The sequence below is a fragment of the Homo sapiens genome, chromosome 10 (assembly GCF_000001405.40).
Source record: "Homo sapiens chromosome 10, GRCh38.p14 Primary Assembly".
Classification (NCBI taxonomy): Eukaryota; Metazoa; Chordata; class Mammalia; order Primates; family Hominidae; genus Homo; species Homo sapiens.
Genome location: NC_000010.11, coordinates 126,040,286 through 126,066,282, shown reverse-complemented (window position 1 = coordinate 126,066,282; position 25,997 = coordinate 126,040,286). Strand labels below are relative to the sequence as shown.

At 47.3% G+C, this 25,997-nt stretch overlaps 1 protein-coding gene across 7 annotated transcripts in view, besides 2 other annotated features; it reads left to right on the top strand.

Moving 5' to 3' along the window:
• Nucleotides 1-25,997, top strand: part of ADAM12 (ADAM metallopeptidase domain 12) — a 376,087-nt gene that overhangs the window by 322,195 nt on the left and 27,895 nt on the right. For 4 of the 7 annotated variants that reach the window (NM_001288973.2, NM_003474.6, XM_017016706.2 and 1 more), the window contains 5 exons: nucleotides 1,282-1,477; nucleotides 16,614-16,722; nucleotides 16,832-17,030; nucleotides 20,151-20,228; nucleotides 23,135-23,243. In NM_001288973.2, coding sequence (NP_001275902.1) covers nucleotides 1,282-1,477; nucleotides 16,614-16,722; nucleotides 16,832-17,030; nucleotides 20,151-20,228; nucleotides 23,135-23,243 — 691 coding nt within the window. Of the gene's footprint in view, nucleotides 1-1,281; nucleotides 1,478-16,613; nucleotides 16,723-16,831; nucleotides 17,031-20,150; nucleotides 20,229-23,134; nucleotides 23,244-24,041; nucleotides 24,940-25,997 lie in introns of those variants that run through there. The other 3 variants (NM_001288975.2, NM_021641.5, NM_001288974.2) reach the window with 2 other exon arrangements.
• Nucleotides 16,485-16,985: an enhancer, noted in NCBI's record as "H3K4me1 hESC enhancer chr10:127737867-127738367 (GRCh37/hg19 assembly coordinates)". NCBI's record gives its function as "activates a minimal SCP1, AML or CMV promoter by ChIP-STARR-seq in primed H9 embryonic stem cells {active_cell/tissue: H9 hESC(primed)}" and the evidence as "EXISTENCE:reporter gene assay evidence [ECO:0000049][PMID:30033119]".
• Nucleotides 22,712-23,369: an enhancer, noted in NCBI's record as "H3K4me1 hESC enhancer chr10:127731483-127732140 (GRCh37/hg19 assembly coordinates)". NCBI's record gives its function as "activates a minimal SCP1, AML or CMV promoter by ChIP-STARR-seq in naive H9 embryonic stem cells {active_cell/tissue: H9 hESC(naive)}" and the evidence as "EXISTENCE:reporter gene assay evidence [ECO:0000049][PMID:30033119]".

Below are 25,997 nucleotides of genomic sequence, written 5' to 3'. Positions count from 1 at the left end.
ACAACTCAATCTTAATGTCCTCCCAAAAGAAGTTGCCACCAACCCCGCCCAGCCAAGAATGGCAGTTTTATACTCTCGCCATTGCTGCTGGCTAGGACTGCGTTTCTTTTGGCAGTTCCATTGTCTCATTATTCAGAGCTGATATCTGAGAGTAGAAGCCTGAGCTTTTGATTCAACAGTTCCAAGGGTAGAGTTTTATTTCATTTTAATTAAGCAATTGATCCTGACATTCTGCTTGCAGGAAACTCCCTCTTAGCTGCCCCACGTGAGCACGGTGATTTAGAAGTGCATTATAACATTTAATGTTCGGCTTTAAAATAGCCTTCATCCTCTTCCTAATGCTGATTAACTTCTGGGGAATGTTATAAGCAGCTGGCTCTCCCTGGCTCCCAGTAACTGGTGAAGGAAGGTGCCTGGAAGGGAGTCGGGGGAAGGGGGAAGCAAGTCTGAGCCTGTGCCCAGGGGATGCCCAAGTAAGGGGAGGGAGGACCACAGGGCAATGCCTGATTGTGGTTCACTTTTAGGTTATGACTTTTTAACAATTGCTTTCGACTTCCAGATCTTCTAGAAGTTGGCAGGGGTCTTATCTCTTTGCGTTTGAGGAGTATGCAGGGAACTAAGCCCAGGACTCGCAGGGTTCCCTAGCTGTGTAGCCTCAGACGGGCTACTCTGAGCCTTAATTTCTTCAACCACAAAAAGCTGAGCCATTGGTCAGATGGCTTCTAACATCCTTTACCTCTCCCTTGTTCTTCTCCTGTTCTTCCCATAAAGCAGTAAAGAGAGAGTTCCAGTTCTATGATTTGACGACTGACTAAAATTGCTATCGTGATTGTGACCTTAAAGTTATTTTTATTAACTTGCCCACACATGCCAACACCATAAATGCAAATGTCCCCTTGAAATGTGTCATAGTGTTGACACCCAGAGACCTTTTTCTTAAGAATCAACCAGGCCAGCAGCCAACGCTTCCCTCCTTCTTCTTCCTCTGAGGTGCCAAGTGCCAGCAGCCAGCTTGTGTGTTTCTTGGAGAACCCTGATGTTGCATGACATTAACCAGAGGCTGCTCTTGGTTGTCCCACCCACTTTAGAGTGGAACAGTGAACCCCAGAACGAGAATCTGATGATTTAATGAGGTATCTCTACATTAGAAGCAACTTCCTTTGAAATCCTCACCCCTTATGTGGGACTTATGGCCTTGTCCACTCCAGCCCAGGAGTAATGCTGAGAGCTGCCTCTCCCTTTCCCCGGGTGCATGTGTCATAAATGGCCCTCTCCTTCCAGCTGAAGCCTGCAGGAACAGCGTGCAGGGACTCCAGCAACTCCTGTGACCTCCCAGAGTTCTGCACAGGGGCCAGCCCTCACTGCCCAGCCAACGTGTACCTGCACGATGGGCACTCATGTCAGGATGTGGACGGCTACTGCTACAATGGCATCTGCCAGACTCACGAGCAGCAGTGTGTCACGCTCTGGGGACCAGGTACGTGGCCGCCACAAGCTCGGCATCAGGAGAGGCACTGGCAGACCTGGGCTGTGGGACTGGGGGCATGTGCTCTGTTTTGGTTAGCCCCCACTCCTGGCGGGCGCTGTCCACACAGCATCCGGTGTGTTCAGTCGGGAGTGATTGACTCCCAGGGAGGGTCTGAGGCCGCACTGGGCATGGGGTGCACAGAAATGGACACTGCCTGGAGCCTGGCCTTAAGAAGCTCAGTGCGGTCCAACAGGAGCTGCAGGAGCACCTACTGTGCGCCCCGGGGGATACAGAAGATGCAGGAGCACCTGTGTGCCCCGGGAGATACGGGAGCTGCAGGAGCACCTACTGCGTGCCCCGAGGGATGGCAGGGATGAATCCACCATGACTCCTGCCCTCAGATAGCATAGCACGTAGTTGGACAGACAGACAGAACTTTCCCACCACCACTGAGATTTTAGTAATGCCCCTTTGTACTCATAAGAGGACCCCAACCAAGTGAGGGGCCCAGGGCTCCATGGGGAAGGCCCTGATCAGACTTGAAGCATGAGTGTGTCTGTAATCAGAAGGCCTGAGAGCAGCAGTGAGTGGCTCTCAAATGGGAAAGTGGGGTGGTTGCGTCAAACAAGAGACCATCAGTTCACCATTTCACCAGTTCAGGCTGGGCACTTGGCACACTTTGTCTCTTCTGACCCTCCAACAAGCCCCTGAAGTGGGGACTATGAAGCTTTACAGAAGATGATGCTCAAACTCTGAGACCAAATGTCAGTTTCCCCAGGTCTCCGGGCTAGGATTTGAACCTGGGTTACTGTGACCCAATGCCCATGTGTTACTCCCACAATGCACAGTCACCCTGAAGAGGGAGGTGTTGCTCTAAAGCTCCACCAAAGCTCCAAAATGAAGCAGAAGCTCAGATGCAAAAGGGAAGAATCCATCCCCTGCGTGTCTCTCCTCCATGCCCCACCTTCTGGGGTCAGAGATCCAAGGCCTCATTGGGCAGCCCTGGACTCCAAGGCCCCGTCACCCCAGAACCATTTGAGATTCAATGCCTGTGTCCAGCTCCCAGGAGTCCAACCGTGAAATCCACAAGTGCAGGCCCCACCCTGTCCTGCAGTTCTCTTTCCCTTATGATAATGTGGTTGAGTCCTTTGTCACTCCCTCCTCCTGCTGGCTGCAGAAATGACCTCAGCCCAGGCCAGAGACCCCAGCTCTGGCAAGGCCTCTTGTGGTCGGCCAGGCCCAGGCTGAAAGCCAAGCAGAATCAGGCAGGATCTCTAGCGGGAGGGAAACCTGATAGGACCTTTGTCAGACTTTTGTTGTGAGGCTTTGGTTTTAGGAGTGATGAGGGAAATAAAGTGGAACAGAAATTGATGACTAAACCTCGAAGCCTGGGTTTTCAATGGAATGTAAAAGCCACGCCCAGGCATGGAAAACAAGATGGATGTCTCTCGGAGCTGGGTCCTGCTGGGAGGCCCATGTCCCCTGCCAGCCAGCGATGTCCTCTGTACTTGGAGCTTTCTGGGGGGGAAAAGAAAGGGCAGCTTGGTAGCAAGGAGGGACGAGCGCAGGCCTCTTTAGCTCGGCCTCTGAGGAGTTGTTCTGATGCTCCTCAGCACTCAGGGATGCGCGTGGGCAGGTGGGATGGGGAGGCCTGCAGTTCCCGGGCCCTTAGTACTTCATCCTTGGACCCTGAGCAGCCCTCAGTCCTGGCATCATCGCCTGCTGGGCCTTGGGGCACCCTGGGCAAAGCAGGGGGCAGGAGCAGTGGGGGACACCCTGTTGCAATGACAAGGACTAAGCCAGTACTCGCTATACACATTGAATGGTGTTTGGGCTTGACATGGTTTAGTGACTTCAGGCAGCTTTTAGCCAACTGAGGTCACTTTGGGACTGCGGCTACTGCTGCAGGCCAAATCTTCATGGCTTCAGGCATCCCTAGTGCCGTCCCCGTCCCAGCCTTTCTCCAGAATCAGCAGTCTCCTTTTCTTGAGTTACAAGGGCTGTGATGAAGCTCCTTTCCAAAAAGCATTTTGTGGCCAGAGCACACACAACACTTGGAGCTTTGGGAGTGAAATGTGTTCCTTAATGCCCTGCCGTATTCGAACAGCTGGCCCCGTTTCCAGAGTGAGGTCAGAGGGAACTCGACAGTGCTGTCTGAGCCACCCCCATTGTGTGACTCAGCTGGCTGTGTGCCTCTGATTCATGGTGACCAAAGCTGGTATTTATTATCTCATCAGTCTAGTCCTTCTGTAGCTGCCTGACCAGAGAGAGAACCAGACAGGCAGACAGACTGACAACCTGACCCACAGACTGAGCTTTTCAAAAGCAAGAGCAATAGGAAGTCACCTGCTTGGGCTCTCATCATCCCCATGATGGAGGGGGAGGCTGGAGGTCTGAGCACCCAGGTAGCCACGTCCTCTTCCTAAGGAGGGGGCTTCCCTGGGAGCTCCTGGCTTAGCTCTACTCTCTCCCACCCACTCTCTCCCTGGTAACCAGGAGGCCTTTGCTGGGGTGGTGGTGGGTGGTGTCGTGTGTGGCCACTGCACACAGCATGGAACATCCATGGCATCAGGACTGTTGGTAACAAATGTAAAGTTTTGGTGAAGAGGCTTTATCTTTGGCTCAGGGTTCCTGAAAGCCACAGCACAGAGACCAGGCTTGGGAAGCCACCTCGGGCTTGTGACTTCCTGGGTTTTGGTCTGTCCTGCCCGCCCCTCCTCAGTTCTTCAGATCATTATACAGACTTCCTTGGGAGAGCAGAGAGCAGGGAAGGCTGCAACCCACTGTGGCCCTTGATGCCAGGGAGCTCTTGGAATGGGCCTTTGACCACCTCCTTTGGGAGTGCAGTGTGCTCCTTCCTCCCCTTGTCGGTGTTTCCGCCTGGTTTCCAGTTTACAGGCGCTGTGTGAGTTTCCCATGGCTACTGTAACAAATTAGCACAAACTTAATGGCTTATAAATGCTTCATTTTACAGTTCTGGAGGTCAGAAATCCTGAAATCAAGATACTGGCAAGGCAGCATTGCTTTGGGAGGCTCTGGGGAGCATCTGTTTCCTTGCCTTTCCCAACTTTTAGAGGCCACTTGCATTCCTTGGCTCATGGCCCCTTCCTCCATCTTCGAGGCCAACAGCACAGCATCTGCAAGTCTCTGTCCCTCTCCGACTTCTGCTTCTGTAGTCACATCCCTTTCTCTGACACTGACTCTCCTGCCTTCCTCTTATAAGGACCCTTTTGATTCCATCAGGCTCACCCAGATTGTCCAGGGTGATCTCCCCACCTCAAGATCCTAAAAGTAATCACATCTTCAAAGTCCCTTTTGCCATGTCAGATAACATGTGCATAGGTTTTAGACAAGGATGTGGGCCTTTTAGGGGAGCCACAGGCATTGAACAGACCACTTACTAGCAAGGGACCTTCTGCAAATTGCTCAACCTTGTTATGCCTCATCTGTAAAATAAGGATAGTGATCTACCTACCCCAAGGGTCTGTTATGCTCCAACATAGCCTATAATCTATTCCATGTAATATATGTGGTTCTATGCTAGATGCAGAGCTCCTAGTAAATCTAAACTCTATAAATAAGATGCAGCTGCACTCCCAGGAAGCTTAGACTAGTGAGCAAGGTACTCAAATCCTTGGGGTCTGTAAAACGGGCTGTAAGAGGGTCATGGGCCAGATATGTTGGGGTGGAGGAAAGCAGCCAACTAGGAGGCTTTGAAGACAAGGTTGCCGTGGAATAGTGGTTTGCCAGGGGTGGAAGAGGATGGATATTTCCAGTATACAGAACAGCAACAGCTCAGGGCACAAAGGGACAGTGGGGCCAACCAGGGCAAGTGCAGGTAGTTCTGTGTGTGTAGAGCTTGGGCTGTGCCTTGAAGAGCAGAGATCCTCAACTGCCACACCATTCTCTCATTTGTCAAGTATTTGTTGATGTCCTGCTGTGTGTAAGATGCTGACTCAAGAGCCCCGACTCTGCCAGAGTGACACACTTCCCACAGTCCCTGTGCACTCCTGCCTGGATCTGGAGGGGAGGGCGGATGTGAATCCTTCACAATATCCTCCCGGGAGGCATGGATCCCGGACAAATGCAGTCCTGGGAGCGGAGGTGACTTCCTCAGCCAGGCCCCTGGCCAGCCAGATATACCATTGAGAACATTTCAATGCTTTGTTGTAGTGGTTGGTTTGAATTAGCTTTTCATGATTCAGAAAGGAAAACTTATTGTCAAGTTTGCATTTGCAGTATTTCCCCACCCAGGAGCAAATGCTTCAGGATCTGGATCACGTATGCACTGGGGTCATCACAGGCCTCCTGGGAAATGTAGGAACTCAGAGCTCTAAGAGTCCTTGAGTCCTTGCCCCACCGGCCCTTGACATTTGCACCCCAGTGACCTTGCCCGAGTTGCTGAGTTGCCCAGAATTCTCCAGTTACATTCAGGATGTCCATTACTCACCCTCCAGATCTGGCGACCCAAACACTGACTGGACGAAGCCCTTCCTTCCAACTAATGATTCCCTTTTGAAATGGGCTTTTCTCAATCTGGCGTTATATTTCAATAAAACAATCCTGCTTCCAAATCTTTCTACAAATAAAACAACAGAAAATTCAAAACACATGCCTGCAACTTCTAACTGGCAAAGCAATACACTTTGAGAATGCCTTTGGGTTTTTTGTTCATTTATTTGTTGTTCTAATTGTTTTTGTTGTTGATAACGTACGTTCTCGTTGGCTGAGAGTATAATTTTTTTCTCACTGATTTTTGTCCCACAAATCTGGTATCTCAAGACTTCCTATGTTGATTTCAAACATACAAATGTTATTCACAGTTCAAACTGTGTGGTTGGCGTTTAGCTCTCTTTGCCCAGTTTAGTCTTAATATCTACAAAGATTTTCTGTCAATATGACATGACCTTTACTCCTTCTGAAATATAGCTGGATATTTTTGTTTAGGTAGCAAATTTACTTTTACCAATGTTTTTTGTGAGAACCACCAGCATGGTTACTGAAAATATTCCTTGGCAATTAATCTTACAGATAACTACACATCTATAGTCACGAACAACTGGCATCAGAGAATTCCCGAAATGTGTTAGTTTTTTCTATTTTATCACTCACCAGAATGCAATGTTTGGTTTCTGCAGTGTGAGCTGACCAGACCATTTTTATGGGCTGGTGAATACTCAGTGTTTATTTGCAAATCTGGTTTACATGAGCTTGGTTTATTGTGACCCACTTGGGGCAGTGCATTTATGAATCACCTACAACTCCTGTGGCCACAGATGGGAAAAAAAGAGATTTTTGCCAGAAGTCTTATTGTTTAGAAGTCAGGAAAGTCTCCCTTTTGTCCCATCAAGTGAGAAAGAAATGATCAAATTTGTTCATTTGGACTTCATTTTCTGATGAATACAAAGGTCCGTCTGAAGAAGAGAGATGGGAAGGACAATACAGTCTCCAGTTGTCTGTAAAAATGCCTTTGTCTGTGGATGTTAGTGGCAGGGGTTAGGGAAATCAGTGACACAGGGAAGGAGGAGCTGATTTGACTGAACTGGGGAAGTACATTTGCATCGTGGAGTCATTTTAAGTAAGATTAGATTGAGTAAACTGTGGGCTTAATTCAAGATGCCATCATTTCTCTTTCAAAAAAAATATAATGACATTGGGAACTTCCAAACTACAATTACAAATATAAGTTATAGCACTCTGAAGATAAAACTGGTAATTAAAATCCATCACTTTCTACATCATTATAAAATATAGTATGGTATCAAAATTCCCTCTGAAAGGCTAAATTTTATCTTTTGATAATGGCAAAATACCTAAGTGTTCCATTATTAAGGACTCAAAGGCTCTACATTGATGTAATATGGTAGTGATAAGAAAACCATTGTCATTCTTTCTAAGAGATGTGAAATCGCTTGTCTTCATGAAGACAGACATTTTTTAATGCAGCAACTTTGAACCAAATCTCTGCCTTTGTAACATCTTACAAGTGGATAGAAGTCATTTGCACTTTTTAAATTATTGACCACTCTGTCTCTAAGATAAATGCCAGATGGCAGCTAACGCACAAAAGCCACGGGAAGCACTCTGTTGGCCCCTCCTCCGCTATCCTGACCGGGATCAGCAGGTTCTGGACAGGCAGGGCGCGCAGAGAGTTGTCTGCGGGCTCCGTGCCTTTGAGCCTCTTTCCTTTAATGATGTTTTCTTTCAGTGCTGGAGCTGCATCTGCTCCCAAGGTCAGCACTCAGCCCCCTTTGGTTTCCCTGCTTATAAGTTTTCTTCCTTAACTTTGAGGGAATAACAATTTACCTTTCCAGGAAGTAAAACGTCTGTCTTTTTATGACCTTACATAAGATCCCACAGTAATACTTCATTTGATGTCAATGAATAAGTGGAAATCCAGAGACATAGAAAAGATAAACCAGCAGACAGCGTTCATTTACCCAGGCTGCTGTGTTTGCAGAACCACAGTTGACTTCCTCCGGGAAGGGCACTGGAGACATGATGTGCTTTCCCCAAATGGCTTTTCACTCATTCGTTCTTGGAACACATCTGCTATGCGCTGGCCCGAGGCAGCATCCCTGCCCACAGGTAGGAGCCCTGGGGCCTCTCAGGAGGCAAAAGCAAGTGTGGTAAATACAAGAGGAAGACAACCTTGGGAGGAGGGAAAGGAGGGCCAATCCCTGCCTCCATGGCAAAGCTGGGGGCAGAGGAGAGCCCTGAAGGACACGGGAGCCCTGGACCCTGATCCAGCTGGCTCAGGCATCGAGTTCCAAGGAAGACACTGACTCCCCTGGCTTCGGTCATGTGCCCAGCATTGACCCGATCATATAACCTGTGGGATGGACCTCTCTGATTCAATCTTATGTGCATACCTCTGCCATTAGATAGGAAAGTTAGCTCCAATTAACTATAAAAAATGGATTTCCCATGGGGAAAATGTTCTCGTTCCTAGAAGAAGGGATATGGGAGAGGTGTTCAACAAAACAATAACCCTGTGTCTCCTACCCCACAGTCCGTTTTCACAAAGTGCTGTTGCTGCTCCAAGCTCCCAGAGCAACCTCCTACCACACAGGTAGATTTCACCCTGGAGGGGTGTGGCCAGTGTGTGGTTCTGGAAGGAGTTGTGCTGAATCACTCTGGCGACCACTAGCTGGCAGCTCCCTGGCCCCAGGAAGTGGCCCAGAGCCCACCATGGTACCATCCTACAACCTAACATTGGAGTTTGGGGCAGCAGGGGCGTGTTGCAAACAGGACCAAGTTCCGGCCGCTGCGTCCTTAGAAGTTTGGTTCATTTGAAACCCCTTAGCCTTTAAACATCCGTGTTCCTCATGGGAGATTTCTCATTACAGCCTGGAGACTCCAGGGTAAGGCACCCTGGCCAACTGGATAAGAGTAAGCATTGTTTTTTTTTTTTGTTTTTTTGTTTTTTTGTTTTTTAATTTTTTTTTTATTATACTCTAAGTTTTAGGGAACATGTGCACATTGTGCAGGTTAGTTACATATGTATACATGTGCCATGCTGGTGCGCTGCACCCACTAACGTGTCATCTAGCATTAGGTATATCTCCCAATGCTATCCCTCCCCCCTCCCCCGACCCCGGGCTCATCATCACTGGCCATCAGAGAAATGCAAATCAAAACCACTATGAGATATCATCTCACACCAGTTAGAATGGCAATCATTAAAAAGTCAGGAAACAACAGGTGCTGGAGAGGATGTGGAGAAATAGGAACACTTTTACACTGTTGGTGGGACTGTAAACTAGTTCAACCATTGTGGAAGTCAGTGTGGCGATTCCTCAGGGATCTAGAACTAGAAATACCATTTGACCCAGCCATCCCATTACTGGGTATATACCCAAAGGACTATAAATCATGCTGCTATAAAGACACATGCACACGTATGTTTATTGCGGCACTATTCACAATAGCAAAGACTTGGAACCAACCCAAATGTCCAACAATGATAGACTGGATTAAGAAAATGTGGCACATATACACCATGGAATACTATGCAGCCATAAAAAATGATGAGTTCATGTCCTTTGTAGGGACATGGATGAAATTGGAAACCATCATTCTCAGTAAACTATCGCAAGAACAAAAAACCAAACACCGCATATTCTCACTCATAGGTGGGAATTGAACAATGAGATCACATGGACACAGGAAGGGGAATATCACACTCAAGAGTAAGCATTGTAAACAGGGCTCTGCTCCATCTTCCTCCCACCTTCCTTGCAAACCCTCACCACCACTACCAAATTAAAGCAGCAGCAGTTTCAGAGGACTGATAAAAGGAAGCAAAAGATCGTATCTATTGGGGCTACCCGTGAGTTAGCCACTTTTCTTCATTCTCCAGGGAAGAGAATGAACAAAGTAGATGACAGGGGCTGGAGTATGCATTCGGGCCTTTGATTCCATAGAGAAATGCATCTGTCCTATCCCCGTGTTTACATGGCTGATGAAATCATAGCCTGCCTCTCCTGCAAATGCCCCTTTTCTTTGCCATGTGGCAGTGAGCCCTATCATTGCTGTGCCTCAGGGACATCACTTCCTGGCCATATTTCAGTGGTAAAGTATGATATGGCATCCCTCACTCCCTCATGTTTTGGGTGAAAGCTCAAATGAATGAAACTCTTAGAAGGTGACCGTTATTGCCTTCCTGGAGGTAGACAGAAAGTTAACCTTTAGAACCTCGCATCGTTCAAGCCACTGGATGAATTAATGGCAGAGTGGAGTCAGTTTTACTGGCCAAACTTCACTGAGATTTATTTCTTGAGGAACTGCTCCCTCAGAGGTTTCCAAGTCATTCTACTCCGAATTTTTCATTTCTTTCCCTGAATCAGTATAGATGCAACAAAAAGCATACAAATATCTGCTGCCTGCCTCCATTGTCCCAGTTTTAAAGGGAAATCTCACTAAGCATGCTCAGGTGCAGGGGGTAGGCCGTGACCCAGGTCAGTTCAGCACCTGAGACATGAGCATGAGGCAGCTGTCGTCCTCACCTGTCAGGAGATTTTTTGGAAAAAGATTTGGTGAAGAAGTTGTTGACTCCATGAGCAGCTGGATTACAGGAGAATATGTTGGTGGTTCCGAAGAGGAAAGGATGGCAGGGACAGGAGTCTATAGTCAAGTAGGGGGTTTCCAAGAGGAAGGCAGCACAGGATCATGGCTGGATCATGGGTTTTGGCTTTAAACCCATGAGACAAACCCAACTTTGCCATTTACATTGTGATCTTCGGCAAGTTGCTAAAACGCTGAGTCTAAGTGAAAATCTCTGAAATGGGGAGAATGTAGACCTTACAGGGTGGCTATAAGGATCAAAGATGATACCGCGTGCTGTATCCAGCACCATACTTTAATTACAAGTGGCCTGCTGATGATCTAAAATGTATCGTTCATTTAAAGTGTGTGTGTTTGTTAAGAGCAAGGAGAGTAATGACAGGAAAATGATCTTTGTTCTAGGGTTGAGTGGCATAAAGAGAAGTCAGACTCAAGGGTCTTTGCCCAGGGTTGCCTGCTGCCTCTTTCAATGTGGCACTGGGTGCTGACTCAGGGGGAGTCTGGAAGCCCAGGCCAGGAGGGTTCCCAGAACCAGCTGGGATTTGGGGGCCGTGGGGAACCACACTCATTGAAAGGAGTAAGGGGATGGGTGCAGGGAAGTTGAAATCCTTGTGCTGGATGATAGTTCTGATTTATATGCAAAGGATGTGCAAAAACTATTAGGGTTTCAGATGAGATTCTCTTCTTTCCTTCTCATTTCCTGAGGCATCTGGTTAGCCCACAGTCTCCACTAGTTGCCCTTAATGTGTAAGGCCCTGGAGACCATGAAGTGTGAGGGAGATGGATGTAAAGCCCCTACTGACGTGATCATGAATCGTTACAGGTGTGGTAAGTGATGCGAGCAGGGGCTGGTACAAGGAACTCTCTTCTCCCCACACACACCCCCAGCCCTAAAGTCCAGAAGCCACACCTTCCCCACAGTCCAAGGTGGTCTTCATTATCACTTGGGTTTCCTAGGGGTCTGCCACATGCCAGGAGCTCTACACACTGATGCACCTCCACAGCACCTTTGAGTCAGGTCCTTGTCCCCATTTTACAGATGAGGGGACAGAACCTCGAGAGCTTGTACAACAAGGCCTTTTGGACATTGAATGCCAGATCAGCCCGAGTTCCAAGCCTTTGTTCTTCCAACTCTGAAGCATGGTTACTGAGTAGATCAGTCAGACAGGAGGGGGCAATCTAAAAAGGCTGAAGACTGATAGGCATTAGGTATTTTTCTTAGACCCCATACATGCCCAGCTATAAAACAAGGCTTCCCCCTGAAAGTAGCCAGCAAAAAGAATCGCTAACCACTGACCTGTCACTCTCTCAGCCACACCTTTTGGATGTCGCAGAGCAGGTGGGAAGGCGCTTTGGCGCTCATCATCCTGCATCCACGCAGGTTCATCAAGGCTGCCTGACAAAATCAGGTTTAAAAAAAGGCAGGTGCATCTATCACATGCTTAAATATTATTCTTCGGCTGTGACTTCATCCCATTTTGGTTATTCTGGTAAAAGAGCTTTTAAGGGTTCACTTTCATAAGCAATAGAGTGGGTGGTTCAGTTGTGGAGGTTATGAATATACACCCACTGGGCTAATAGAGAAAGTGCTCACTTTCTCTATTAAAAAGTGTTGGAAGAGTGGGTACTTGAACCTAGAAACAAGATTTCCAGTGATAACATAACAGAAGAAAAAATGTCAGCATCTTGAGAAAGCCGGAAGTGCAGGGAATGTGCCATGGAAAGCAAGAAGACTGAGACCAGGCCAGGTACGGTGGCTCACGCCTGTAATCCCAGCATTTTGGGAGGCTGAGGTGGGTGAATCACCTGAGGTCAGGAGTTCGAGACCACCCTGGCCAACATGGTGAAACCCCATCTCTACTAAAAATACAAAATATTAGCCAGTCGTGGTGGTGGGCACCTGTAATTCCAGCTAAATGAGAGGCTGAGGCAGGAGAATAGCTTGAACCCGGGAGGCAGAGGTTGCAGTGAGCCGAGATCACACCATTGCACTCGAGCCTGGGCAACAAGAGCGAAACTCTCTCTCAAAAAAAATAAAAAGACTGAGACCAAAGGAAACGTCATCTCAGTAAAATTGTTCCACGGTGTGGGAGAGGTTTTTTTTTTAAGACAATCTAAATTAAAATGTGATTCTTTTAACTGTTTCTCATTAAGTTAATTGACAGCATATTATAAGATGATGCTTGACTGTGTCATCTGTGTTGGTAAAAATTCACATATTCGAATTGGCCACAAGCCTTTCTGAGGGTTTGTCTTTGGGAGAATGGCGGTGCTCCTGAAATGCCAGGTGGCCTTCTGCTGGGGCGTGTACCATGCTTCTGCGTTATTGGTAAACAAGGCATTGCATCTTACACACACCTGGTTTTCTGAGCTGTGCTGCTCCACCAGCATTTGGGGCATTACAATCATAAGCACACCCTGTATTAGTCTGTTCTCACACTGCTATAAATAAATAAATACCTGAGACTGGGTAATTTATAAAGAAAAAAGGTTTAATTGGTTCTTGGTTCTGCAGGCTTTACAGGAAGCAGAGTAGCTTCTGCTTCTGGGGAGGCCTCAGAAAGCTTCCAATCATGGCAGAAGGTGAAGGAGAAGCAGGCACATCACGCGGCCGGAGCAGGAGCAAGAGAGAGAAGGAAAAGGGAGGTGCCACACACTTTTAAACGACCAGATCTCAACTCACTATCCCAAGAATAGCACCAAGGTGATGGTGCTAAACCATTCAAGAGAAACTGCCCCCATGATCCAATCGCCTCCTACCAGGTCCTACCTCCAACATTGGGAATTATAATTCTACATGAGACTTGGTGGGGACACAGATCCAAACCACGTCACACTCTGACCCAGAAGGCTCAGTGTGTTTCAGCTTTGGATTCCCAAGTAGAGATCCAGTGTTTTCACTTCCAGAATGCTTTTATACTTGATTACACACTGTTTCCATGCCTTTGCTTGACTTCCTATCATAACGATAGCCCTTTATCTGGTATTCACGTATCAAGCTTCCCCTTTGCTTTGCCAGTACATTTGCAGCGTCTTCAATCCCTGTTGAGGTTGGTCTCTTTCTCGTCCTCTCTCTCTCCCCCTTCCTCTCTTTGTTTTTATCCTTCTGTACTCCCCAGTCCAACCTTGTCCAACTCTCCTCCCAGGCTGCTGTTGAGCTGTTTGTAAGCTCACGTGTCTGAAACTGCCCAAAGTCTCTTTAGAGCTCCCTATAAGGAAAACAAATGTATCAACTGACATACTTGAATTGTGTCATGGTATATGTATTTTTTAAGTGGTCACAATTCCCAAGAAAGAAATTACTTTATAATAAAGGTAGCAGAATCTAGGACATCAGAATAGCATTGCGTGCAATGGCACAGTGATGTCAACTCCACCCACCCATTTCCTAGGAGCTAAGCAGTCACTAGGAGCTGCTTGTATTTCCGAGTCCTAGCCTTATGAAGTAGGGAAAGAAGCAACAAAGCCATTTCCTGCCCCATTTTCTTAGCCCTTCCACAGGCAGCTGCAGCAGCACACCCCACATCCACTGAACCTGTTGTTGCTTGGGCTGCAGGGCCAGGTCTTAATCTGCTCTCTACACCTGAGACCCAGTGCAGGGTCCAGCACCTGTGAGGATGGAGCACAGGAGGGAACAGCCCAGAAGCCTGGCTTCACCCTTAGATGATCCTGCCTTCGTTACCTATGTGAATCTGAGAAATATATTTAACCTCTGATGTGCTAATTTTCTTGTCCATAAAATGGAATAATGAGACCTACCTTGTAGGATTAAATGGTAGGATTCAGCTCATGATGTCTTCTCTAAGAGGTCTTCCTTGACCAGCCTGCCTTTAAAAGCAACAGTCCCCTGAACCCTCCTACTCTGTTTCTACCTTCATAGCATTCCCTAACACTGGGCTTTAGAGGAACATAATCATTTGGGTCTTTTTTCTGTGTCTCCTTGCAATTTTCAAGCAAGCAGGAGGTTTGTCCAGTTTGGTCCCTCTTATACTCCCAATGTCTGGAAGATAGTAGGTGCTGAATAAATACATGTGTCTGATTGAAGCCTGCAACATGATGGCTGGCTGGCTGGCTGGCTGGATGGATGGGTGGCCGGCTGGCTGGCTGGATGGATGGACGGGTGGCTGGCTGGATGGATGGACAGGTGGCTGGCTGGCTGGATGGATGGATGGATGGATGGATGGATGGATGGATGGATGGATGGATGGATGGGTGGCTGGCTGGCTGGATGGATGGATGGATGGACGGGTGGATGGACGGGTGGCTGGCTGGACGGATGGATGGACGGGTGGCTGGGTGGCTGGCTGGATGGACGAGTGGATGGATGGATGAATGGATAGATGGGTATATAAATGGATGATGGAAGGAAGTAGGAAGGGAAGGAGGGAGGAAAAAGAGGGAAAGAAGGATGGTTGGGAGGGAGATAGAGTTAGGCAAGCAACAAATACATAGGGTGTGTGCAAAAACACAAACAATTGTTGAATTGTTACTATTCTAGATGCCAGTTTTTCCAAACTGCTTTGATCAATCAGATCCCAGTACTTTGATCAAAAGTGCTGCCAAACAGGATTAAATTAAGCACAAAGTGCAGGTTCCACACTGAGGCTCTCCCTCCCCATCCTTCCCTGCTCTGACAGATAGACGAAAGAGAAAAAGAAGGCAGAATGCGGACAAATCAGGTCCCTAATAGGAGCTGAGTGTGTCGGTGGTGTCATCCTACTGTGAGCAAGGCAGATGTGGAACAGATGGAAGGAAAGGGCATGTGATGTGAGGAGCTAGGGACCTCATCTTTCTCCATGACAGAGAATTGTGTCCAGTCTGGGCTAATGCCCCTGAAAAAAGAGATTGCAGAGGCTTCTCTAACATGGCTTATAAAAGAAATGAGAAAAGGAGAGGTGCAAGGCTGGCTCATTGCAGAGATTGGAGCGCTGAGCACACTGTTCACATCAAATGATGGCAAGGTGGTGTGGCACGTGTGTGTTGAATGAGATGATCATGTCTGCTAGTAGCTGATGAGAAGGGATCAGGTGCAGGCTAACGAAGGGGGATGTTTTTAGTAAGAAGAACATCTTCTGTTCCCTGGGACGAGGTATCTTAAATAAATCCGTTGTCACCTTGGAAAGCAAAGCCTCCCCAGGGTGGAGAGCAGAGAAGGGCAGGAGTCAGAGTGAGGCTCTGGAGTGTCGGCATCCTGGCCATCAGAAGCGATGTGAGATAAAGTGCCAAACAGGACACCAATCAGGGAGAGAAAAGGGACCACGCCGCAGGGCATGGTTTGTTCTAAAGAATGTGGCATGTTTTCTTGACTTGCTCAATAGTCTTCAACAGACATCACTATGTCCAGGATTCAGGAGTCCTCCAGAACTTTGGCTGCAAATGCTGATTATATGTGCTCTCTCCGTGGCTGGAAGATGTGCTAAAAATGGCCATTTCTGAGCTCTCTGGCTGCCATGACCCTCTTTGCTGGGAACCGTCATGTTGTACATAGGGATTACCAGGGTTTATGACTCCATGGCCTCTGAGAGAAATCTCTGCCTTGCAAATAAAATAGAAGGTATTAAAAGAAGGTAGTACTTTCTCTTATAGGGAGCTTTATGGGACTAAAAATATCATAGAAGATATCTTCATTGCTCCTTTGGAGCCTGCCCTGGCTTGCATTTCCTCACCGGAATTGTGTGGGATGTTGTTAAAGAGAGCAAACTTCCCCTTCTCTGCAGCCAGCCAGCCAGCCAGCCAGCCAGCCAGCCAGCCAGCCAGCCACCTCCTTTCTGCCCTGGATCAGATCTCATTCCACAGCCAGGCCTCATTTCCTGAGAGGCCACACATGCCACAAGCCCAGAGAGCAGACCTAAGGAAGAGTAAGCATTGGAACATGTGCTCTGCCAGAGGCCGAGTCAAGAGAGGATGCGAGCTGCTGACACCCTAGGCTTCCCCTGGCCAGCTCCCACCATGAGTCGGGACAGACACTGGGTGTGATTGCTTTGAGCACGTCTCCCCGTAACCATTTGAGAGGCCTACAGCCATGAAAAAAAAAAAATCACCTGCAGGAGATGAAAATGCAGTTCTGCTTCTGTTTCAGGTGCTAAACCTGCCCCTGGGATCTGCTTTGAGAGAGTCAATTCTGCAGGTGATCCTTATGGCAACTGTGGCAAAGTCTCGAAGAGTTCCTTTGCCAAATGCGAGATGAGGTATGGAATCCAGACATCCTGGCAAAGTCTTTGCTCTGACCTTCCCACATTGCATAGGGTTGGTTCCAAATGGTTTCTCCTTGGGAATTGTTTGTTCTTACCCTTCCAGAGATGCTAAATGTGGAAAAATCCAGTGTCAAGGAGGTGCCAGCCGGCCAGTCATTGGTACCAATGCCGTTTCCATAGAAACAAACATCCCCCTGCAGCAAGGAGGCCGGATTCTGTGCCGGGGGACCCACGTGTACTTGGGCGATGACATGCCGGACCCAGGGCTTGTGCTTGCAGGCACAAAGTGTGCAGATGGAAAAGTAAGACCCAAATGTTTGCTTGGATCATAAATGTAAGTCTGGAACAGGGCCCATTGAAAAACAGCAAGAACTGGGTTACAAGGTTTGTTGGTTTTCCTAAATCTACTTCTTCTCAGATGCACCTAGAAGAAAAAGTCAATAAATCCTAGATCCTGGTCTGACTATTAAAATGCAGATTGGGGAAAAATCAAGCCTGTCTTCTTAGGCCTTGAGTGTTAATAAGTCATTTCTACACTCCAGGTGGCATGAGGACTTCTAGCCAGGAAATTACTTTGGAAAGAAATACAATCGCATATTCTATTGGTTTTGGATATGTGGCTTGGTTTTTAGCACAGAGTTCTTGGGGGCTTGTCCTCACCTGAACAGAATGGGAAATCAGATGTATTTTTAGAACCCTGTAGAGAGAAGAATAGGAGAGGGAAAGGAGTGGAAGAAACTCAAAACCAGAGGGGAGTCCTTTCAGAGAACAGGGAGAAAGATACATGGAGATATTTTGAGGTTTAGAAATAAAGTCAAACTTTTTTTTTTTTTGGAAGAAAAAAAGAATTTGAGATTTTCATGCTCTGCCATACTGATTTTTTTTTTTTCACCAAACTTTCTCATCAGACTAAATGACAGCAAGCGAATACAATGTTTTAAGAAAAGGATGAAACAACCCCCAAATGCTTCTTAGGACTCCATTTTCAACATGGTCTTGAAATCACTCACTAACATGAGGTCACACAGGCAAGAAAAGACAGAGGCAGAGACAGAATCCTGAGGACAGGTGTTGCCTCCACTCTCCTGTCTTTGGCCCCACACACCCTGAGCCACAAATCCTTTTTCCTTGAGAAATAGGATCGTACATGAATCTTCTTATACATTCTGAATGTCTCCTTACCCACATTTGCTCATATTCAGGCCTTGACATTAAAATGACATCTGATATTTTTAGGCTCAAATCATATTTTGTCTTTTAACTTTTAGGTTCAGGGGTACATGTGCAGGTTTGTTATACAGGTAAACTTGTGTCATGGGGGCTTGTGGTACAGATTATTTTGTCACTCAGATACTAAGCCTAGTACCCATTAGTTATTCTTCCTGATCCTCTCCCTCATTCACCCTCTACTCTCTGATAGGCCCAGTGTGTTTTGTTCCCCTGTATGTGCCTATGTGTTCTCATCATTTAGCTCCTACTTATAAGTGAGAACATGTGGTAGTTGGTTTTCTGTTCCTGAATTAATTTGCTTATGAAAACAGCCTCCAGTTCCATCCATGTTCCTGCAAAGGACATGATCTCATTCTTTTTTATGGCTGCATAGTATTCCATGGTGTATATGTACCACATTTTCTTTATCCAGTCTATCATTGATGGACGTTTAGTTTGAGTCCATGTCTTTGCTATTGTGAGTAGTGCTGCAATGAACATATGAGTGCATGTGTCTTTATGATAGAATGATTTATATTTCTTTGGGTATTACCCAGTAGTGGGTTGGCTGGGTCAAATGGTAATTTCTGTTTTAGGCCTTTGAGGAACGACTGCACTGTTTTCCACAATGGTTGAACTAATTTACACTCCACCAGCAGTATATAAGTGTTCCTTTTTCTCCACAACCTTGCCAGCATCTGTTGTTTTTTGACTTTTTAATAACAGCCATTCTGACTGACACCTTTTTTTTAAACTGTAGCCTGAACAGCCAGGGCCAGGTGCATCTGGACATTCCAATTCCAAGGGCTCAATTTATCATCAAATTTGTTTTCCACGTTCAAGATGAAATGTGCTTTGATCTCAGAACCTTGGTTCTCTGAGGGCTCAGGGATCCGCAGTGATTCCCATGAGGGTCCTGCTGTGTTCACTGTAATCCAGGACAGGTTCTTTTATCAGCTGGAATGTGACCATCCCCTTGGCCAGGATTCGCACCCACCGAGTGGGAATCCCTCAGTGCTGCTTGGGCCAGCGCTTCTCCCAAAGGCTATGCCTCTTGCCCTTATATGAGCTGTTGGGGTCGGATGGTGACCTCCTCAATAGGAAGGTTCTACTTGATTAAAAATTCTTCTGCCATTTGAACGTTAGACTCTTTTTCCTTTGACTCCACGGATTTGTAAAATCTTATAGGAGATAAAGGGCTGCATCCCTTGAGTCTGGAGTATATTATGCACATTTGAAATGAGGCTGAGTTCTTTCAGCCAGCCCAGTATCACTTAGGAAATGCCTACCACTACAACAGCTTGATAAATTCAAGGAGCCGTCTGTTTTCCTCTGCTGAGCCTCGTTGCTGATGGTTTATGTCATTGATGATACTACTTGTCAGTCAGTATCTGGAAAAAGTTCCCATATTTCAACCTCTCCCTTAAAAGACTCTTCAACCCTGGATTCTTGGAGTCTCCATCTATGTCTATCCAGGCCCTGGGATAAGGAGTAATCTGTCTCGCCCTCCCCTATATCTTTTTTTTTTTTTTTTTTTTTTTTTTGAGACGGAATCTCTCTCTGTCGCCAGACTGGAGTGCAGTAGCATGATCTCGGCTCACTGCAACCTCCAACTCCCTGGTTCAAGCGATTCTCCTGCCTCGGCCTCCCAAGAAGCTGGAATTACAGGCACGTGCCACCACACCCAGCTAATTTTTGTATTTTCAGTAGAGACAGGGTTTCACCATGTTTTCCAGGAGAGTCTCGATCTCCTGACCTCGTGTTCTGCCTGCCTCGGCCTCCCAAAGTGCTGGTATTACAGGAGTGAGCAACCGTGCCCAACCTCGCCCTCTCCTGTATCTTTTAATGGAAGAAAAAAATACTGCAGTACATAGATTTCTTTACAAGCTCCAAACAAAACTCATAAGAAAATCAGTTATAATTTTAGGATCAACTGAAAGTTATATTAAAAGCCATAAAATGCAAAATAATTTAATAGTGTTGACATTGAACTTAGTCTCAAAATGTGCTGAGTTTGGAGGAGTCAGGCAATAAGATCCATGCCTGAGTCCAGTATAAAATGTATTGTTATGCTCCATCCGTATTAACTGAGACAAGGTTGGGTCTTCTCCAAGCTTTCTTTTGCTTGCTTTTTGTTTGAATACAGGTATGTATGCATGCTGGAGGGGTTGGAGAAATACTAAGAGATTTGCTGTGTTTTCCTCCTCCTACAGATCTGCCTGAATCGTCAATGTCAAAATATTAGTGTCTTTGGGGTTCACGAGTGTGCAATGCAGTGCCACGGCAGAGGGGTGAGTAGGCTGAGCTGCCCTTTTACAGCCAGCCCATAACAAGTTAAGTAATAATACATTCATTTGTAAAAGGTTTTGCAATCCATAGCATTTTTTAAATAGAGCAGTTATTGTGTTTGAAATATTTTCTTCTAAAGGTATTCATTTCTTTTGACCTTTTCATGTGACTTTTATTTAACAAAGAAAATCAGACTGAGCTGTAATTACCTTTTAAATTAACATTCTATGATTTTAAAAAAGACTTTTGTTGTTCAAAGTAATTTGAAAAGCAACCTTCCTTCATGAAGAGTTTCAAAATAACATTTCAAACTGTGCTGTTCCTCTTACTACCAACATTCAGAACCAGTGTCTGAACTGAAATATTTCCAAAAGGAATTAAAACAAGGACAACAGATCATATTAAACACATGTTCTTGAAATCACACACAATGGGTTTCAACTAAAGAAGGCTGTTATTTTAGTTCAGAGAACCTTTAGGGTAGAAGAGGACTCTAATTGCTGAAAACATAATTTATTTTTCTTGATGGGCTTATTTCCAATGGAATCATATTAGTCTTGATTAACCACACCAGAGGTTCATTTGTTTTCCTGAAACCTTTCCTACAGAAATCCTGCTCCAAATTCTTTATTTTAAAACTTGTAGACACTTGCCAATGATTCTTACACAGAATTACCGGGTGCATGGGGGGAGGGGGTTGTAAATTACCATCATGCTGGAACCATAAAGGATCACAGTGTCACCTCAGATGGGGGTGTTGACGGTAAGGTTAGCTAACTCCCAATATACAATGGAATCTTCTTATGTCTTCATTGGATCATAGATTATTTTCTGATGGCTGTTAAGAGATGATCAAGTCCAGTCCTATTATTTTACTGAAGAAGCCAGGCCCTGAGCTGTGGGGATGGTGTGCCCAAGGTAATATGGCCGGCAAGCTGCAAGCTGGTTGAGGACCCTGGACCACTCCCTTTCCAATACCCCTTGGCCTTATCCACACATGGGAGCGGAGAGGCCCGCATTTGCTGGGTAGGTGGAGCCTACCCAGCCTTGCTGAAGGGTAGCTTGGCCACAGTCCCACCCTAACAAGGGCAGGCTCCCGGCAGCACCTTCCTGTGGGTTTTAAAACAAGGCGCATGACCACAAGTTGCAGAGAGAAGCCATGAGGGGCAGGCATGAATCTGGGGCTAGTACGTCCACAGCAGCATCTTTGAGGGGACAGGCAAGACACTTACATTTGACGTAGGCTCTGCCACTTGCTGACAAGTTCTACTCAATTTCTGCTTTATAGCAGTCTACTTTCTAACTTATTAAAGCCTATCTTGACAGTCGGCCTTCTTATCTGAAGCAATGAGGGTAGGTGGTTGATTCATCAAAACAAGTCGGTTGAAGCAGGAAAGCATTACATGGGAGACATATACTCTACGCATTTTATTTTGCCTTAAAATATGAAACTGTATATCTGGCAGCCATATTTTGATGGCGGGCTGAGGCCTTTAGGATTGATTTACTGAATGTCATTGTGCATCGACTTCCTGATATAAACCACCCAAAAATGCATCATCAACAACTTCTAGTTCGTTTCTTTTTGTGGAAGGGAACCTTAGACACTCAACAGCATCCAAGAACAGCCTCCTCCTTGTCCTCTGCAGCTCTTCCCAATCATTGTGCAGTAGTCCCACTCATTCCTAATTTTTCAGAAATTCTTTTAGTGATTTCTCTTTTTTAATCCAGTGTTCCCAAAGGATTCAACCTAATTTTTTTTAACTTTTTTTTTTTTTATCTTTATAAAGACAGGGTTTCACCACGTTGGCTAGGCTGGTCTTGAACTCCTGGCCTCAAGTGATCTGCCCACCTTGGCCTCCCACTTGCTGGGATTACAGGCATGAGCCACCGTGCCTGGACTTGACAACCTAATTTTCATAGAAAAAAATATATTAAATATATATCATCTTCATGGTCATCTTCCATTGGATCATGTACTTTCAGTTAGTTACATCTGGCATAATAGCGAGTCCAACCAGCATGGACAGGCTTGGGAGTGGCCGCCATCAGTAGCCCTTGGTAACCAGGTGGGCAGGGGCTGCTGGCCCCTGCATGGAATGCTCTGGTCTATGAGCTGGGCCCAACAAGGGTGAAGCACAGCCTCCTCGGGCTTTCTTGGTCTCCCTTTCCCGCCGTGCCAGAACCATTCTCTTATTTCACAATGAAAAGAATCCACTGTTGGATTCGCACCCTGGTGCGTGACTGGGAGCCAGGGAACAGCCACTGGGAACCTCTGCAAGAAGGAGGCAGGCGTTGCAGGAAGGACACACGGGGACAGGCTTCAGGAAGTATTAGTGGAAATCCCATGCACCCTGCTAGGATTGCAGGAAACAGGATTCCTTTGCTCAGGAAACGGGGGGCCTGCCTCGGACCCCAGCCTGGCGTGGGACCCGGCAGTCACCAGCCTCTCTGAGCCTTCTGTCTGAAGGAGACAGGGATGCGCCAAGCATCTGTCAGGTCCCGCGGTGCCCCAGGGCTCTGGGTCTGTAGCCCCAAAGCACGGTCCCTCCTCACTGCTGAGGGGGCTTCTCCTCATGGTCAGACAGTTTTCCAGATTGAAAAAGGAAGATGGGGAGATGGAGAAGGAAGTGAGGTGGGTGGGGGAGGCAAGCTGATGAACCCAAATAATCTTCATCACTCTCTTTACAGCCACTAATAGGCAGATGATGCATCTTCACAGCCTCAGGTTTGGTCGCCCCTGTGTGGTGTGTAGTGCCGGCTTTGGGCTTATTCGCACCATGGCGTGTGCTGAGTCTGGCTGTGTCAGTGTTGGGGGGGGGCTCTGACCATGGCCCCCCTTGCTTCTGCTGTGGTGATGCACAGAGCATATGCCCTAACCCCACGTCCCTCCCCTCTGCCCTGAAAGGTGTGCAACAACAGGAAGAACTGCCACTGCGAGGCCCACTGGGCACCTCCCTTCTGTGACAAGTTTGGCTTTGGAGGAAGCACAGACAGCGGCCCCATCCGGCAAGCAGGTCAGTGAAGCCCCTGCATCCCGGTGGGAGGAGGCTGAGCACCTGGGGGCGGGTGGGCTCGCCAGCTGTCAGCATGGGTGCAGGTAGAGCCAACAAGAAACCCAGTGGGGACCCCACATGGGTCTACACAGCCTAGGGTCTCCCGCAGTTTCCAGATGCCCCTCTCATCCCTGCCCGATCTTCTCTGAGGCTCCTTGCTCTCTGCTTTGACTGAGTGGCTGAGTTTGCCAGTTCCTTAGCCTGCGACACTTTTCTTAACTAAGGTCATTTCTATAGTGAACTGCTGAATGGGTATGAATGTCATCACTGTATCAAAGTACTTTGTAAAGGCCGACATCTGTGTGGTAGGGTGACAAGGTGTGAAGTTTAATGCCTTTTAAAAATCTTACTGGAAAGACACCCACCTCTTAGTAAAGGTGACAGTCACGGCAGCAGTGGGAGTCATTGCAACAGCTTTTGCATATGGAATGATGTGTGCAGGTGCTGTGTGGTGCATTTTATGCCCATGATGTCATCCCCTCCTTATACAACTCTGAAGAAGGTGGTATGATTCTTTTCTCACATACCTAGGACCTGAGGCTCAGGGAAGTTAAGTAATTTGCCTAATGTGATCTCGCTAAGATTTACACACACACAGGTCTGCCTGTCCCCCAAGAAGCTCTTAGTAGCAGCTGTGCTTGAACTCGTGGCCATTTCTCCTCGGATGACCTTTAGAAATGGTTTACTGGTGCGGTGCTGTTTTCTCTGAGTTCTTATTGGGCAATTCAGGGGCAAGTCTAAATGATGCCTCTTTTCGAGGGAAAGAAGCAAGGCAGGAAGCTGCAGAGTCCAACAGGGAGCGCGGCCAGGGCCAGGAGCCCGTGGGATCGCAGGAGCATGCGTCTACTGCCTCACTGACACTCATCTGAGCCCTCCCATGACATGGAGACCGTGACCAGTGCTGCTGCAGAGGAGGTCACGCGTCCCCAAGGCCTCCTGTGACTGGCAGCATTGACTCTGTGGCTTTGCCATCGTTTCCATGACAACAGACACAACACAGTTCTCGGGGCTCAGGAGGGGAAGTCCAGCCTACCAGGCACGTCTGCAGAAACAGTGCAAGGAAGGGCAGCGACTTCCTGGTTGAGCTTCTGCTAAAACATGGACATGCTTCAGTGCTGCTCCTGAGAGAGTAGCAGGTTACCACTCTGGCAGGCCCCAGCCCTGCAGCAAGGAGGAAGAGGACTCAAAAGTCTGGCCTTTCACTGAGCCTCCACAGCAGTGGGGGAGAAGCAAGGGTTGGGCCCAGTGTCCCCTTTCCCCAGTGACACCTCAGCCTTGGCAGCCCTGATGACTGGTCTCTGGCTGCAACTTAATGCTCTGATATGGCTTTTAGCATTTATTATATGAAAATAGCAGGGTTTTAGTTTTTAATTTATCAGAGACCCTGCCACCCATTCCATCTCCATCCAAGCAAACTGAATGGCAATGAAACAAACTGGAGAAGAAGGTAGGAGAAAGGGCGGTGAACTCTGGCTCTTTGCTGTGGACATGCGTGACCAGCAGTACTCAGGTTTGAGGGTTTGCAGAAAGCCAGGGAACCCACAGAGTCACCAACCCTTCATTTAACAAGTAAGAATGTTAAAAAGTGAAAACAATGTAAGAGCCTAACTCCATCCCCCGTGGCCATTACTGCATAAAATAGAGTGCATTTGAAATACCGCTGCCTCCACCCTGTTCATACATATATAAAATCAAGGCAGGCCATGAGCAAGCATGGCTCACTGCTCCCTGGCCTGGCCATGGCTCAGGGGCTCATTAAACAAGTACTTGTGTGTCTGCCACACACCAGCCACTCTCCTGGGTCCTGGAGAGACATTAAGCAAGAATGACATGGCATAAGTGAGGGGTACGACTGCAGGGAGAGAGGGCATCATGGGAGGGGAGCAACCCCCACAGAGCGGCAGGGGGTTGTCAGGAAGGCTCCTGGGGACCCTGCATCTGTTGAGGTCTGAAGGGGGCGAGGGAAACATGCATTCTGAAGCCGAGATAGCTGGCTGTGCGAAGATCTAGAGGAGTGTGGACTGGCCTGGGCTCAGATTCTAGAGTGCGGACTGGGCCAACAGGAGGGGACACAGGACACGGTGCTCGTGCTGGTCCTGGGGAAGAGGGAAATGGAGTCAGTCACTGCCCGGGCCTCTGGCTTGAGCAACCCTGGGGAGTTCAGCAGGTTCAGTGTGGGGGCCCTGTAAATGTTCAGTTTCATAGATTGATGTATTGAAGATTTATGGATTCACTTTATGGAACTAGAAATTATAGTTCAAGATTTTTGCTGTTCACTTTTTAAATTAACTTTAATTAACTTTGTTATGAGACACCAGAACTCTAGCTAGAGCCCCCTGTGATCACTACTAAGGGTCTGAAAAGAGTGACATTTTGCCCAGGAAACCAGAAGCAATGCTTTTCCAGTAACACCAACAAGTAAGTCAAGACTGTCATCTGTTGGCTGTCTTGCTTAGGCTAAGACACATCCCTGATAGGCCTTGTTAGTGGGGGATGGGGTCCAGAAACCAAGAAGGTGTGAAAGACATTCTTTCCCTGGAGTAGGAGCTGCTGCTGCAGTGATCCACAGCCAGCTGAGGGTCCAGGTGGGAGGCAGGGCCGAGGAGAGCCCAGGTAACTGCATCACGGCGATCACCAGCAGCCGGAAAGGACTGTTGCACACTTACCTGATGTGAAGTACACCCTGATCCTTGCTGATGGGAAGACAAATGAATC